At 37.8% G+C, this 17,571-nt stretch overlaps 1 protein-coding gene across 3 annotated transcripts in view; it reads left to right on the top strand.

The window, feature by feature from the left end:
* The window catches only part of MROH2B (maestro heat like repeat family member 2B), a 73,323-nt gene that overhangs the window by 34,608 nt on the left and 21,144 nt on the right, over positions 1–17,571 (top strand). For all 3 annotated transcript variants that reach the window (XM_011513953.2, NM_173489.5, XM_011513952.2), the window contains 3 exons: positions 2,871–2,897; positions 3,575–3,694; positions 3,914–3,993. In XM_011513953.2, coding sequence (XP_011512255.1) covers positions 2,871–2,897; positions 3,575–3,694; positions 3,914–3,993 — 227 coding nt within the window. The remainder of the gene's footprint in view (positions 1–2,870; positions 2,898–3,574; positions 3,695–3,913; positions 3,994–17,571) is intronic.

Genomic DNA, 17,571 nt, shown 5'->3' with positions numbered 1-17,571 from the left:
CCAGGTAGTGAGCAAGGTACTCAACAGTTAGGTTTTTTTACCCTTGTCCCCCTCTAATAGTCCACAGTGTCTTGTTCCCATGATTATGTGCTCAATATTAACTCACACTTATTTGGTTTTCTGCCCCTGCATTAATTCTTAGTATTATGTCCTCCAGCTCCATCCTTGTTGCTACAAAAGTCATGGTTTTATTATTTTTTATGGCTGCATAGTAATCCATGGTATATTTACTGTATTCGTCCATTTTCACTCTGCTGATAAAGACATACCTGAGACTGGGAAGAAAACAATGTTTAATGGACTTAAAGTTCCACATGGCTGGGGATGCCTCACAATCACAGCAGAAGGTGAAAGGCATGTCTCATGTGGCAGCAGACAAGAGAAGAGAGCTTGTGCAGGGAAACTCCCCCTTATATAATCATCAGATCTCATGAGACTTATTCACTATCATGAGAACAGCACAGGAAAGACCTGCCCCTGGGATTCAATTACTTCCCACCAAGTCCCTTCCACAACATATGGGAATTCAAGTTGAGATTTGGGTGGGACACAGCCAAACCATATCTATGTATAAATGTGGGGTGTGTGTGTGTGTGTGTGTGTGTATATATAATATATGTATCTCCCACATTGTTTATCCAGTCCTCCATTGTTGATTCCATGTCTTTGCTATTGTGAATAATGAAGCAATGAACATATGAGTGCATGTGTCTTTTTGGTAAAACGATCCATTTTTTTAATATATTCCCAGTAATGGAATCACTGGATGGAATGGTAGCTCTGTTTTAAGTTCTTTGAGAAATCTCCATCTGCTTTCCACAGTGCCTGAACTAATTTACATTCCCCCCAACAGTGTATAAACATTCCCTTTTCTCCCCAGCCTCACCAGCGTCTGTTTTTGTTTTTTTGTTTTGTTTTGTTTTTTTGCTTTCTTTGTAACAGCCATTCTGACCCATATAAGACAATATTTCATTGTGGGTTTGATTTGCATTTCTTTGATGGTTAGTGATGATGAGCATTTTTTCATGTTTGTTGGCCACTTATATGTCCTCTTTTGAGAAGTGTCTGTTCATGTCCTTTGTTCACTTTTTATTGGGGTTGTTTTTTCTTTGCTTGTTGATTTGTTGAAGTTCCTTATAGATTCTGGATATTAGACCTTTGTCAGATGCATAGTTTGAGGATATTTTTTCCATTCTGTAGGTTGTCTGTTTACTCTGTTGGTATTTTCTTTTGCTGTGCAGAAGCTCTTTGGTTTAATTAGATCCCACTTGTCAATTAAATCTTTAATCTACCTTGGGTTAATTTTGATACATAGTGAAAGGTAAAGGTCTAGTTTCATTTATCTGCATATGACTAGCCAGTTATCCCAGCAATATTATTTATTGAGTAGGGAGTCCTTTTCCTATTGCTTTTTTGTTGTTGTTGTCAGCCTTGTCAAAGATCATATGCTGTATGGCTTTATTTCTGAGTTTCTGTTCTGTTCTATTGGTTTATGTGTCTGTTTTTGTGCCAGCACCATGCTGTTTTGATTACTATAGCCTTATAGTATAGTTTGAAGTCAGGTAGTATGATACTTCCATCTTAGTATTGCTTTGGCTATGCAGGCTTTTTTTCGTTGTTCCATATGAATTTTATAATAGTTTTTTTCTAATTCTGTGAAGAATGACATTGGTAATTTGATAGGAATACCATTGAATCTGTAAACTGCTTTGGGCAGTATGATCATTCTAACAATATTGATTCTTCCTATCTGTGAGCATGGAATGTTTTTCCATTTATTTGTGTCATCTCTGATTTCTTTCAGCAGTGTTTTGTAGTTCTCATAAAGATCTTTCATGACCTTAGTTAACTGTATCCCTAGGTATTTCATTTTCTTTGTGGCTATTGTAAATGAGATTATGTTCTTGATTTGACTCTCAGCCTGGACATTACTGGTGTATGAAAATGCTAGTGATTTTTGTACATTGACTTTGTACCCTGAAACCTTACTGAAATCATTAATCAGTTCCAGCAGGCTTTTGGTGGAGTTTTTAGGGTTTCCTCTGTATTAACTCATTTTGCCAGTGAATAGGAATCTTTTTTTAAAAAATTAAAAATACACAAATGCTACCCAAAAAAATGGCATTTTACCTTGAAACACCTGAAGTCAGTTGTGAAAGTTGGAACTTCCTATGAAATGGTAAGGGTTATCTGAAATCTAATGGACTGTTATAATACCAGATTTGGATGGGAAAGGCTCATAACACACAGTAGACTGAGGTAGCTGGTAGATTCATGGGGTGTGTGCACGTGCGTGCTTTGAGTATTCCTACGTGGCTCAGTTCAACTGTGCACCTTTCCTCTCACAGAGGAAACTGCACACAAGCAAATGTGAATTCAGCATGTACTAAAAGTATTCTCTGATACAGCATGTCAATCTCATTGGAACAAATCTGCATTTTCAACACAAATGTTATAGCAGAACTCACTGTACTCACAGTTCCAGAGTTAGCTGCCCTTTGACTTTTCATTTTATAGTTTTTCGCTTCTCATTTCCCTAAGAGCCTTTACCCTTTTTCCTTACCAAAGTCTGTTGAGCCTCTTTAAAATGATTGTGAAGGCTGAAAACACAAGACTCGAAGTCTCTACCCTGCCTTCTGCAGCTTACTCATGACTTACCTGGGGGAAAGACTCTGCAAATGTACAAGGTCTCACTTTAAAAATGGAAGAAGTGAATTGCCCCCCTCCCCTTGGCAAGACCCCCCTTGGCAAGGCTCTACCTCCTGCTTTACTATTGTCCTTCAGGTTGATGGGTGAGTCCTTTTGTTGGGTTGGGTATATCTCTCAATGCCACTCATTGAGTATCTAATTTTGCCTTTGATTTTTTTTAGGTTCTGGGCATGTCTGTGATGAACAAGGTAGGAGAGATAGATAGATAGATAGATAGATAGATAGATAGATAGATAGATAGATAATGCCCCCCTGAAGTGTGCCAAGCAAAGATGTCCTTTTGATTTGATTCCAATTGAAAGGTTTCCAACATGTAACAATCCAATTCTGAAGTCAGAATCCATGATCCTAATCCAGGGCAGAACAAGGAACTATATTCTGGTTCCAGGGTCTTTAGAAGTTGAGCTATAAACTAAAACAATGGTGTTCAAACTTTGGGTTGTGACCCACCAGTTGACTATGAAATCAATTTAATAGGTCACAACCAGAAAAATTCTTTAGTGAAACAACAGAGTACTTTACTTGTAAAAACTATAACTATTATTTCTGTTATATATTAAACATATTTGGGGCATACAGGTACTAGGTGGAATTGTAAACTGTTTCCTACTGTTGTTTATGGTCAAAAAGTTTTGAAAGCCACTGCTCTAGAGGACCTTCATTCTATTGTGGGTGGTAGGGAGGAAAAATGGCATTTGTTTCTCACTTTCCCTGCAACTTAGACCCTAGTCTGGAGTAGAGATGGCAAAGGAAGCAAAGATTCTCACTCCTGTCTGGGAACATATTTCAAAGCTAGGTCACATGTTAATAGACCTGAGTGTGGTGTCTTAGACCTTGACTTGCATTGTAAATGCTTTTGCTTTAGGACATGGATCTGCAAATGAGTTTCACAAGAAGCATCACTGAGATTGGCATTGCTGTCCAAGATGCTGAGGATCAGGGGTTCCAGTTTTCCTACAAGGAGATGCTGATTGGTTACATGCTGGTGAGTGTGCAGAGAGGGAATAAGAAAGGCCCTGAGTATTCCATTACCAAGAGTTCAGGGCTATCTTTTTAAAAAGTGAATAGACTTCACCAGTCCCACATAACAGATCTCTGCCTTGTTTATGACCCAGGGCACCCAATGGTCTGATGAGGTTGCAGCTGCATCTGGTAACTTTCCTGAGCCTTTCTGAAACATTTAATCTCCTTATTTATGTTTCAGGACTTCATTAGAGACGAGCCCCTGGATTCCTTAGCTAGCCCTATTCGGTGGAAAGCCTTAATCGCCATTAGGTATCTCAGGTAGATAATTTTTAGTTGTTTTCATTGAAAAAGTATTTTCCCCCTTATCCTCCTCCTGATCAACTAACATCTGTTAGTGCAGACTTCAGTACACACTCCCAAAACTGAACACAGTTCATTAATGGGAGCTTCAAACTGGGGCTTTTTCTCCTTCCAAAGAGTTATGGATCTGGCTGAGAAATTGGTCATTTGATGACTGACAGAGACTGAAGAGCTACTCAGAGGAATTATATGTATTAATATATGAGGACTAAAATTTCTCTGCAAAAGGAAATTCTTCTTTCTAGATCTTGGCCTCCAGGCAAATTTTAATCTTTCAATTAAAATCTTATGAAAGCCCTAATCACATTCTAGTTGGTTAGCAGCAATAAACCTGAAAAAGGAAATACTTTTTGGCATATTTTAAAAATAATATTTTCACCCTGCAGTAAAAGAAATAGAAGTTAAAACCACAATAAGATAGCATCTCATGCCAATCAGAATGGCTATTACTAAAAACTCAAAGATGCTGCTAAGGTTGTGGAGAAAAGGAAACACTTATACACTGCAGCTGGCAATGTAAACTAGTTCAGCCACTGTGGAAAGCAGTTTGGGTATCTCTCAAGGAACTTAAAGGAGAGCTACAATTCAACCCAGCAATCCCATTCCTTGGTATATACCCAGGGGATAATATAAATAGCTCTACTGTGAAGACATATGCATGCGTATGTTCACTGCAGCACTATTCACAGCAGCAAAGACGTGAAATCAACCTAGATGCCCATCCATGGTCGACTGGATAAAGAAAATGTGATACATTACACTATAGAATACTACACAGACATACAAACGAATAAAATCTGTCTTTTGCAGTAACATGAATGGAGCTGGAAGCCATAAACCTAAGCAGATTAATGCAGGAAAACCAAATACCACTAATTTTATAAGTGAGAGCTAAATACTGAGTAGACATGGACACAAATAAGGAAACAATAGACACTGGGGCCTAGTTGTGGGTGGAGGTTGGGAGGAGGGTGAGAATTTAAAAACTATCTATCTGGTTCTATGCTTATTGATTAGATAATCTGTACACCAAATCCTCATGACATGCAATTTACCCATAAAACAAACCCACACATGTACCGTCTGAACCTAAAATAAAAGATGGAAGAAACAAAAAGAAACAGAAATAGAAGTCCTCTGTAAAGATTGGGAAATCACAAAAATTTTTTAAAAAATAATAAAAACCACCCATAGTGCCCCCATTGCCAGCATTTTGGTCTATTTCCTTGATGTGGTTTGACTTTGGGTCCCCACCCAAATCTCATCTCGAATTGTAATCCCCAAATGTTGAGGGAGAGACCTGTAATCTCCACGTGTCAAAGGCGTGGGGTGATTAGATCATGGGAGTGGTTTCCTCCATGCTGTTCTCATGATAGTGAGTGAGTTCTCATGAGATCTGATAGTTTTATAAGTGTTTGGCTGTTCCTCCTTCACATGCTTACTCTCCTCTGCTGCATTGTGAAGAGGTGCCTGCTTTCCCTTTGCCTTTGGCCACAGTTGTAAGTTTCCTGAGGCTTCCTGAGCCATGTGGAACTGTGAGTCAATTAAACCTCTTTCCTTTATAAATTACCTAGTCTCGGGTATTTCTTTATAGCTCTGTGAAAATGCGCTAATACATTCCTTTAAGTCTTTATTTCTAGTCCTCCATTTTTATAACAGAGTTGAGATTCTACTCTGCATGTGATTTTTCATCCTGCTTTTTCTAACTTCACCTTACATAGTTCCACATTATCACCAATTCTTCATAAACATCATACTTTTCTTAGTTTTTAGTTTTTGTTAATGTTTAATTGTGGCAAAATAAATAAAACATAAAATTTATAATCAGCCATTTTTAAGTGTACAGTCCAGTATTGTTAAATACATTCATATTGTTGGCTAAAACTACTTGGCTATATTTTTGGGTTCTCTATTCTGTTCCATCAGTCTAAGTGCCTATTTTTATACCAGTGCCATGCTGTTTCAGTAACTATAGTTTTATATAAATCAGGTAATGTAGTGACTCCAGATTTGTTCTTTTTTCTTACTATTGCTTTCCCTATGTGGGCTCTTTTTTTATTCCATATGAATTTTAGTATTGTTTTTCCTATATCCTATGAAAAATGATGATGGTATTTTAATGAGAATTGCATTGAATATGTATATTGCTTTGGGCAGTATGGGCATTTTCACAACATTGATTCTTCCCTTCCTTGAATTTGAGATGTGTTTCCATTTGTTTGTGTCATCTATGATTTCTTTTAGCAGTGCTTTGTAGTTTTCCTTGTAGAGATCCTTCACTTCCTTGGTTAAGTATATTTCTAGGTATTTAATTTTTTTTCAGCTGTTGTAAAAGGGATTATTGTTGGTATATAGCAGAGCTACTGATTTGTATATATTGATTTTTGTGACCCAAAACTTTGTTTTTTATACCCATTCTAATGGGTGTGAGGTGGTATTTTCTTGTGGTTTTGATTTGCATTATCCTAATGATTAGTGATGTCAAACATCATTTCATATGTTTGTTAGCTGTTTGTATATCTTTTTTGGAGAAATGTCTACTCAAGTCCTTTCCTCATTTTTAAAATCAAGTTGTTTGGTGTTTCGTTGTTTAATTATAATATTTTTTTTAATTTATTCTGGACATTAACCTCTTATCAGACATATGATTTGCAAATATTTTCTCCTATTTAATAGGTTGCCTTTTCACTCTGCTGATTATATCCTTTGATGCACAAAAGTTTTTGTTTCGTTTTGTTTTTCAACTTTTATTTTAGATTTGGGAGTACATGTGCAGGTTTGTATATTGCATGATGCTGAGACTTGGGGTACAAATGAATCTGTCACCCAGGTAGTGAGCATAGTACCCAATAAGTAGTTTTTTTCACCCTTACTCCTCACTCTCACTCCCTCTTTTGTATTCCCGAGATGCACAGAAATTTATAATTTTTAAGTAGTCCATTTGTCTATTTTTACTTTTGTTGCCTGTGTTTCAAGAAATCACTGTCAAATTCAAGATCTTCAAGCTTTTCCCTGTATTTTCTTCTTAGAGTTTAATAGTTTTAACTCTTACATTTAGATCTTTGATCCATTGTGAGTTGATTTTAGCATATGGTGTAACATAAGGGTCCAACTTAATTCTTTCGCATGTGGATATTCAGTTTTTCCAACAACATTTTTTGTAAAGGTTGTCCTCACATCAAAATCTTGGCCTACAAAAGCAAAAATAAATAAATGACACTACATCAAACTATGAAGTTTCTGCAGCACAAAGGGAATAGTCAACAAAATGAAAAGGCAACCTATGGATTGGGAAAAAATGTTTGCAAACCATGTATCTGATAAGGAGTTAATATCCAAAATTAAAAAGAATTCATACAACTCAATAGCAAGAAAATATATAACCTGATTTAAAAATGGACAAAGGACCAGAGTAGACATTTCTCAAAAGAAGATATGCAAATGGCTAAAAGGCAAATGAAAAATACTTAATATCACTCATAATTATGGAAATACAAATCAAAACTGCTCTGAGATATTACCTCATACCTGTTAAGATAGCTGTTATCAAAAAGAAACCCTAACACATGTTAGCAAGAATAGAGAGAAAGGGAAACCCTTGTACACTGTTGGTGGGAACGTAAATTGGTGCATCCATTATGGAAAACGGGATGGAGGGTCCAAAAGAAATTAAAAATAGAATTACTATATGACCCAGCAATTTATCTTCTGTGTATATACCCAAAGGAAATGAAATTACCACCTCGTAAAGATATCTGCACTCCCTGAGAGATGAAAAATTACCTATTGGGGTACAATGTACACTATTTAGGTAACAAGTACACTAAAATCTCAGACTTCACTACTATACAGCTCATCCATGTAACAAAAACCACTTGTACCCCTATGGCTTTTTAAATTAAAAAAATTTTAAGTTATCTGTACCACCATATTTATTGCAGCATTATTAACAATAGCACAGATATAGAAACAACCTAGGTGTCTGTCAATGAATGAATGGATAAAGACATTGTGATATTTATACCCACAATGGAATATTATTCAGACTTTAAAAAGGAGATCATGCCATTTGTTACAACATGAGTGGACCTGTACAACATTATACTATGTAAAATAAGCCAGACACAGAAAAAAATATTGTATAATCTTACTTGTATGTGGAATTTTTTAAAATGTCAGATATACAGAAATGGAGAATAAAAAACAGTGGCTACTGTTTTATTCTCAGTGGTGGGTAGGAAATGGAAGATGTAAGTCAAAAGATATAAAGTAGTAGGTAAGTCTGATGAATAAGTCTAAAGATTTAATAATGTACAACCTAGGAGTATATTTAATAATAGTGTATTGTATTAAGGATTTTGCTAAGTGAGTAGATTATAGCTGCTCCTACTTTTGCTCTTGCCACGGGGCAGAGGTGGGAGTGGACAGGAGAGAAACAGATAACTATGTGAGATGATGGCTAGGTCAATTTGTTTCATTATGGTAACCTTTTACTACGTATATCTTTTTTTATATATACTTTAAGATCTAGGGTACATGTGCACAACGTGCAGGTTTGTTACATACGTATACATATCCCATGTTGGTGTGCTACACCCATTAACTCGACATTTACATTAGGTATATCTCCTAATGCTATCCCTCCCCCATCCCCCCACCCCACGACGGGCCCTGGTGTGTGATGTTCCCCACCCTGTTTCCAAGTGTTCTCATTGTTCAGTTCCCACCTGTGAGTGAGAACAAGCGGTGTTTGGTTTTTCGGCCTTGCAATAGTTTGCTGAGAATGATGGTTTCCAGCTTCATCCATGTCCCTACAAAGGACATGAACTCATCATTTGTTATGGCTGCATAGTATTCCATGGTGTATATGTGCCACATTTTCTTAATCCAGTCTATCATTGATGGGCATTTGGGTTGGTTCCAAGTCTTTGCTATTGTGAATAGTGCCACAATAAACATACGTCTGCATGTGTCTTTATAGCAGCATGATTTATAATTCTTTGGGTATATACCCAGTAATGGGATTGCTGGGTCAAACAGTAATTCTAGTTCTAGATCCTTGAGGAATCGCCACACTGTCTTCCACAATGCTTGAACTACTTTACGTCCCACCAACAGTGTAAAAGTGTTCCTATTTCTCCACATCCTCTCCAGCACCTGTTGTTTCCTGACTTTTTAATGATTGCCATTCTAACTGGTGTGAGATGGTATCTCACTGTGGTTTTGATTTGCATTTCTCTGATGGCCAGTGATGATGAGCATTTTTTCATGTGTCTGTTGGCTGCATAAATGTCTTCTTTTGAGAAGTGTCTGTTCATATCCTTTGCCCACTTTTTGATGGGGTTGTTTGATTTTTCCTTGTAAATTTGTTTGAGTTCATTGTAGATTCTGGATATTAGCCCTTTGTCAGATGAGTAGATTGCAAAAATTTTCTCCCATTTTGTAGGTTGTCTGTTCACTCTGATGGTAGTTTCTTTTGCTGTGCAGAAGTTCTTTAGTTTAACTAGATCCCATTTGTCAATTTTTGCTTTTGTTGCCATTGCTTTTGGTGTTTTAGACATGAAGTCCTTGCCCATGCCTATGTTCTGAATGTTATGGCCTAGGTTTTCTTCTAGGGTTTTTATGGTTTTACGTCTAGCATTTAAGTCTTTAATCCATCTTGAATTAATTTTTGTATAAGGTGTAAGGAAGGGATCCAGTTTCAGCTTTCTACATATGGCTAGCCAGTTTTCCCAACATCATTTATTAAATAAGGAATCCTTTCCCCATTTCATGTTTTCGTCAGGTTTGTCAAAGATCAGATGGTTCTAAATGTGTGGTATTATTTCTGAGGGCTCTGTTCCATTCCATTGGTCTATATCTCTGTTTTGGCATGAGTACCATGCTGTTTTGGTCACTGTAGCCTTGTAGTGTAGTTTAAAGTCAGGTAGCGTGATGCCTCCAGCTTTGTTCTTTTGGCTTAGGATTGTCTTGGCAATGCGGGCCCTTTTTTGGTTCCATATGAACTTTAAAGTAGCTTTTTCCCAATTCTATGAAGAAAGTCATGGGTAGCTTGACAGGGATGGCATTGAATCTATAAATTACCTTGGGCAGTATGGCCATTTTCACGATATTGATTCTTCCTATCCATGAGCATGGAATGTTCTTCCATTTGTTTGTGTCCTCTTTTATTTCATTGAGCAGTGGTTTGTAGATCTCCTTGAAGAGGTCCTTCACATCCCTAGTAAGTTGGATTCCTAGGTATTTTATTCTCTTTGAAGCAATTGTGAATGGGAGTTCACTCATGATTTGGCTCTGTGTTTGTCTGTTATTGGTGTATAAGAATGCTTGTGATTTTTGCACATTGATTTTGTATCCTGAGACTTTGCTGAAGTTGCTTATCAGCTTAAGTAGATTTTGGGCTGAGACAATGGGGTTTTCTAGATATACAATCATGTCATCTGCAAACAGGGACAACTTGACTTCCTCTTTTCCTAATTGAATACCCTTTATTTCTTTCTCCTGCCTGATTGCGCTGACCAGAACTTCCAACACTATGTTGAATAGGAGTGGTGAGAGAAGGCATCCCTGTCTTGTGCCACTTTTCAAAGGGAATGCTTCCAGTTTTTGCTCATTCGTATGATATTGGCTGGGCGTTTGTCATAAATAGCTCTTATTATTTTGAGATACATCCCATCAATACCTAGTTTATTGAGAGTTTTTAGCATGAGGGGCTGTTGAATTTTGTCAAAGGCCTTTTCTGCATCTATTGAGATAATCATGGGGTTTTTGTCTTTGGTTCTGTTTATGTGATGGATTATGTTTATTGATATGTGTATGTTGAACCAGCCTTGCATCCCTGGGATGAAGCCCACTTGATCATGGTGGATAAGCTTTTTGATGTGCTGCTGGATTCAGTTTGCCAGTATTTTATTGAGGATTTTTGCATTGATGTTCATCAGGGATATTGGTCTAAAATTCTCTTTTTTTTGTTGTGTCTCTGCCAGGCTTTGGTATCAGGATGATGCTGGCCTCATAAAATGAGTTAGGGAGGATTCCCTCTTTTTCTATTGATTGGAATAGTTTCAGAAGGAATGGTACCGGCTCCTCCTTGTACCTCTGGTAGAATTCGGCTGTGAATCCATCTGGTCCTGGACTTTTTTTGGTTGGTAAGCTATTAATTATTGCTTCAATTTCAGAGCCTCTTATTGGTCTATTCAGGGATTCAACTTCTTCCTGGTTTTGTCTTGGGAGGTTGTGTGTGTTCAGGAATTTATCCATTTCTTCTAGATCTTCTAGTTTATTTGTGTAGAGGTGTTTATAGTATTCTCTGATGGTAGTTTGTATTTCTGTGGGATCGGTGGTGATATCCCCTTTATCATTTTTTATTGTGTCTGTTTGATTCCTCTCTCTTTTCTTCTTTATTAGTCTTGCTAGTGGTCTGTCAATTTTGTTGATCTTTTCAAAAAACCAGCTCCTAGATTCATTGATTTTTTGAAGGGCTTTTTGTGTCTCTATCTCCTTTGGTTCTGCTCTGATCTTAGTTATTTCTTGCCTTCTGCGAGCTTTTGAATGTGTTTGCTCTTGCTTCTCTAGTTCTTTTAATTGTGATGTTAGGGTGTCAATTTTAGATTTTCCTGCTTTCTGTTGTGGGCATTTAGTGCTATAAATTTCCCTCTACACATTGCTTTAAATGTGTCCCAGAGATTCTGGTATGTTGTGTCTTTGTTCTCATTGCTTTCAAAGAACATCTTTATTTCTGCCTTCATTTCGTTATGTACCCAGCAGTCACTCAGGAGCAGGTTTTTCAGTTTCCATGTAGTTGAGCAGTTTTGAGTGAGTTTCTTAATCCTGAGTTCTAGTTTGATTGCACTGTGATCTGAGAGACAGTTTGTTATAATTTCTGTTCTTTTACATTTGCTGAGGAGAGCTTTACTTCCAGCTATGTGGTCAATTTTGGAATAAGTGTGACGTGGTGCTTAGAAGAATATATATTCTGTTGATTTGGGGTGGAGAGTTCTGTAGATGTCTACTAGGTCTGCTTGGTGCAGAGCTGAGTTCAATTCCTGGATATCCTTGTTAACTTTCTGTCTTATTGATCTGTCTAATGTTGACAGTGGGGTGTTACAGTCTCCCATTATTATTGTGTGGGAGTCTAAGTCTCTTTGTAGGTCACTCAGGACTTGCTTTATGAATCTTGGTGCTCCTGTATTGGGTGCATATATATCTAGGATAGTTAGCTCTTCTTGTTGAATTGATCCCTTTTCCATTATGTAATGGCCTTCTTTGTCTCTTTTGATCTTTTTTGGTTTAAAGTCTGTTTTATCAGAGACTAGGATTGCAACCCCTGCCTTTTTTTGTTTTCCATTTGCTTGGTATATCTTCCTTCATCCCTTTATTTTGAGCCTATGTGTGTCTCTGCATGTGAGATGGGTTTCCTGAATACAGCACACTGGTGGGTCTTGACTCTTTATCCAATTTGCCAGTCTGTGTCTTTTAATTGGAGTATTTATCCCATTTACATTTAAGGTTAATATTGTTATGTGTGAATTTGATCCTGTCATTATGATGTTAGCTGGTTATTTTGCTCTTTAGTTGATGCAGTTTCTTCCTAGCCTTGATGGTCTTTACAATTTGGCATGTTTTTGCAGTGGCTGGTACTGGTTGTTCTTTACCATGTTTAGTGCTTCCTTCAGGAGCTCTTTTAGGGCAGGCCTGGTGGTGACAAAAATCTCTCAGCATTTGCTTGTCTGGAAAGGATTTTATTTCTCCTTTATTTATGAAGCTTAGTTTGGCTAGATATGAAATTCTGGGTTGAAAATTATTTTCTTTAAAAATGTTGAATATTGGCCCCTACTCTCTTCTGGCTTGTAGAGTTTCTGTGGAGAGATCCGCTGTTAGTCTGATGGGCTTCCCTTTGTGAGTAACCCGACCTTTCTCTCTGGCTGGCCTTAACATTTTTTCCTTCATTTCAACTTTGATGTATCTGACAATTATGTGTCTTGGAGTTGCTCTTCTCAAAGAGTATCTTTGTGGCATTTTCTGTATTTCCTGAATTTGAATGTTGGCCTGCCTTGCTAGATTGGGGATGTTCTCCTAGATAATATCCTGAAGAATGTTTTCCAACTTGGTCCCATCACTTTCAGGTACACCAACCAGATGTAGATTTGGTCTTTTCACATAGTCCCATATTTCTTGGAGGCTTTGTTCATTTCTTTTTACTCTTTTTTCTCTAAACTTTTCTTCTCACTTCATTTCATTAATTTGATCTTCAATCACTGATACCCTTTCTTCCAGTTGATCGAATCGGCTACTGAAACTTGTGCATTCATCATGTAGTTCTTGTGCCATGGTTTTCAGCTCCATCAGGTCATTTAAGGACTCCTCTACACTGGTTATTCTAGTTAGCCATTCATCTAATCTTTTTTCAAGATTTTTAGCTTCCTTGCGATGGGTTCGAACTTCCTCCTTTAGCTCGGAGAAGTTTGATCATCTGAAGCCTTCTTCTCTCAACTCATCAAAGTCATTCTCCGTCCAGCTTTGTTCCATTGCTTGTGAGGAGCTGCTTTCCTTTGGAGGGGGAGAGCGCTCTGATTTTTAGAATTTTCAGCTTTTCTGCTCCATTTTCTCCCCATCTTTGTGGTTTTATCTGCCTTTGGTCTTTGATGATGGTGATGTACAGACGGGGTTTTGGTGTGGATGTCCTTTCTGTTTGTTAGTTTTCCTTCTAACAGTCAGGACCCTCAGCTGCAGGTCTGTTAGAGTTTGCTGGAGGTCCACTCCAGACCCTGTTTGCCTGGTTATCAGCAGCGGAGGCTGCAGAACAGTGAATATTGCTGAACAGCCAATGTTGCTGCCTCATGGTTCCACTGGAAGCTTCGTCTCAGAGGCGTACCTGATCGTGTGAGATGTCAGTCTGCCACCACTGGGGGGTGCTTCCCAGTTAGGCTACTAGGGCATCAGGGACCCACTTGAGGAGGCAGTCTGTCCGTTCTCAGATCTTCGTGCCGGGAGAACCACTACTCTCTTCAAAGCTGTCAGACAGAGACATTTAAGTCTGCAGAGGTTTCTGCTGCCTTTTGTTCGGCTATGCCCTGCCACCAGAGGTGGAGTCTGCAGAGGCAGGCAGGCCTCCTTGAGCTGCGGTGGGCTCCACCAAGTTCGAGCTTCTCGGTCGTTTTGTTTACCTACTCAAGCCTCAGCAATGGCGGGCGCCCCTCCCCCAGCCTCGCTGCCACCTTGCAGTTCGATCTCAGACTGCTGTGCTAGCAGTGAGCAAGGCTCCGTGGGTGTGGGACCCTCCAAGCCAGGCGCGGGATATAATCTCCTGGTGTGCCATTTGCTAAGACCATGCGAAAAGCACAGTATGAGGGTAGGAGTGACCCAATTTTCCAGGTGCCATCTGTCACCTCTTCCCTTTGCTAGGAAAGGGAATTCTCTGACCCCTTGTGCTTCCCAGGTGAGGTGATGCCTCGCCCTGCTTTGGCTCTCACTCAGTGGGCTGCACCCACTGTCCTGCCCCCACCATCCAACAAGCCCCATTGAGATGTACCTGGTACCTCAGTGGGAAATGCAGAAATCACCTGTCTTCTGCGTCACTCATGCTGGGAGCTGTAGACTGGAGCTGTTCCTATTCGGCCATCTTGGAACCGCTTCTACTATGTATATCTTATAACATCATGCTGTATACCTTAAATATACTCAATAAAATTTGTTTTTTAAAAAATTGTCCTTTCCCCATGGAATGGTCTTGGCACCCTTGTCGTAGTTCATTTAATGGTTTACTTATAAGCTCTTTATTCTATTCCATGGGCTTATATGTCTCTTTTTTTGCTTTTGTTTTTTGAGACGGGGTCTCACTCTGTCATCCAGGCTGGAGTGCAGTGGCACAATCTCGGCTTACTGCACCTTGACCTCCTGGGCTCAAGTGATTCTCCCTCCTCAGCTTCCCAAGTATCTGGGACCACAGGTGAGCACCACCACGCCCAGCTCATTCTTCTATTTTTATAGAGACATGGTTTTGCCATGTTGTCTAGGCTGGTCTCGAACTCCTGGGCTCAAGCTCTCAGCCCACCTCAGCCTCCCAAAATGCTGGGATTACAGGTTCGCACCACCATACCTGGCCTATATGTCTGTCTTTATGCCAGTTACATACTATTTTGATTACTGTGCTTTTGTAAAAAGTTTTGAAATCAGTAAGTATAAGACCTCCAACTTTGTTCTTCTTCAAAATTGTTTTGGCTATTTGGGGTCTCTAGAGATTTCACAAGAATTTTAGGATGAATTTTTCTATTTCTACAAAAAGCACCCTTGGTATTTTGATAGGAATTACATTAAATCTGTACATCTATTCTTAATGATATTAAGATCTAGTCATCTTTACAATATTGTTTAATTCGTGAACAAAGGATGTCATTCCATTATTTGTGCCTTCTTTCATTTCTTTCAACAATGTTTAGTGTGTTTCTGTGTTTCACTTGGTTAAGTTTATTCCTAAGTACTTTATTCTTTTTGATGCTGCTGTAAATGAAATTGTTCATTTCCTTTTCAGTTTGTTCATTTCTTAACAAATCAGTTGTATATAGAAATGCAACAGATTTTGGTAGGTTGATTTTGTATCTCACAACTTTGCTGAATTCATTTATTAGTTCTAACAGTTTTTTGGTAGAGTCATTAGAGCTCCTACATATAAGACTGTGTCATTTCTAAACAGAGATAGTTTTACTTCTCCTTTTCCAATTTAGATACCTTTTTAATTTTTCCTTGCCTAATTGCTCTGGCTAGAACTTCCAGCACTATGCTAAATAGAAGTTGTAAAAATGGTATCCTTGTCTTACTCTTGATCTTACAGGGGATGTTTTCAGCCTTTCACCATTGAATATAATGTTAGCTATAAGCTTTCACATATGTCATTTATTATATTGAGGTAACAAATATATCTTTAATGGCTGCCTAATATCTTATATAAATATGTCTCATCTTACTTAACCAACCTCCTATTTCTATAACATAATTGTTGCCTGTTTTAAAAACTATAAATAATACTTTGATAAACACCTTTGGGCAAAAAAAAATTTCTGAACTTTTAAGTATGATAGTTGATAGTTTTATTCAATAAATATTATTAAGTGGCATCTATGTCATATCAGTCAGTGAACTAGGTTGTAAAAGAGCAATGATGAACAAGATATGACCCTCCCCTGACAGAGTTTCAGCCTACTGGGAGAAACAGATGTAAGAAGCACCCACATAATTTCTCCAAATGTGGTAAGAGGCAGGATAAGAGAAAGCACAGGTTGCCATGTTAACAAAAATGAGGGAGGTTTGTAGAAAGCTCAAATAAATCAATCTTGAAGCTGAATTAAGAATTAACCAGTCTCTAGAAGAGTGTTGTCAAGTAGAAATACAATGCAAGTCACATATGTCATTTAAAACTGTCTGGTAACCACTTTTAAAAGAGTGAAAAGAAACAATTAAATTAATTTTAATATTATATTTTATTTAATCCAATATATTTAGTATACTATTTCAACATATATTCATTATTTTAAAATTGGATAATTTATATTATTCTTCATACTAAATCTTCAAAATCCCATGTGTTACATCTTAATCCAGATCAGCCACAACTCATGTTCACGAGCTTATGAGGCTAGAGACAGCACAGCTGTAGAACTTGAAAACTAATCTCTAATGATGGCAAGCAAATCAGTGGTTGTCAAGGGGGAGGAAAAGATAACCTGCAAAGGAGCATAGAAAAAAAAATAGAGTATCATAGAAAGATTCCATATTGGTTATATAACCATCAGTGTTTTCATGAGTGTGAACATCTCTCAAAATTTTTTTAATGGATGCAGCTTACTATACATAAATTATACTTTGATACATTAATTTCTTTTAAAGCAGTGAGCCAGACAATAAAGACAAGAAGACTACATAGAGCTTTCCCAGCTGGTACTGAATTTTATTCCTCTCTAAGAGAATCTTATTTCTCTGATGGTGTCATCATTTTTAATTGCTTTGCTAATTTGGTAGCTGACTAATGGTATCTTATTGTCTTAACTTACATTTATTTAAAAGTAAATGGAGTTTTTCATGGGTATTGAACATGTGCATTTTTTGAAGTCATATCTAGACTTTTTCATATCCTCATGAAGTCTATAGTAAACATTTGAAAGAAAGGCAGAAAGGAAGAAACACTCCATTGTCATTTATTCACTTGTGCATTCATAAGAACCTATAGTATATGTGTCACTATTTAGAACATGAAAAGAGACGTGAAATTGATAAAAGTCACTGCTGCAGACTTACAATCTAGTTGAGGAGATACATATCTCTCTCTATCATTCTCTCTCTCTCTCTTTCTCACTCTCTCTCACACACACACACAAGATGGAGAAAACAAGTAGGTAATGCTGTCACAGATCATATAATAGTGTTAAGGAACACAAAGTGAGTGATGATTTGTTCATCAATCTAATCTAAAGAATGGAGGCGTATTGAGTATGCTCACCAATGCAGTCTGATTCTGTGTTCCCATCTCTCCCTACTCCTGTC

The sequence above is a fragment of the Homo sapiens genome, chromosome 5 (assembly GCF_000001405.40).
Source record: "Homo sapiens chromosome 5, GRCh38.p14 Primary Assembly".
Lineage (NCBI taxonomy): Eukaryota > Metazoa > Chordata > Mammalia > Primates > Hominidae > Homo > Homo sapiens.
The sequence above is the reverse complement of the archived record's forward strand: the minus strand, read 5'-3'. Positions and strand labels throughout refer to the sequence as shown.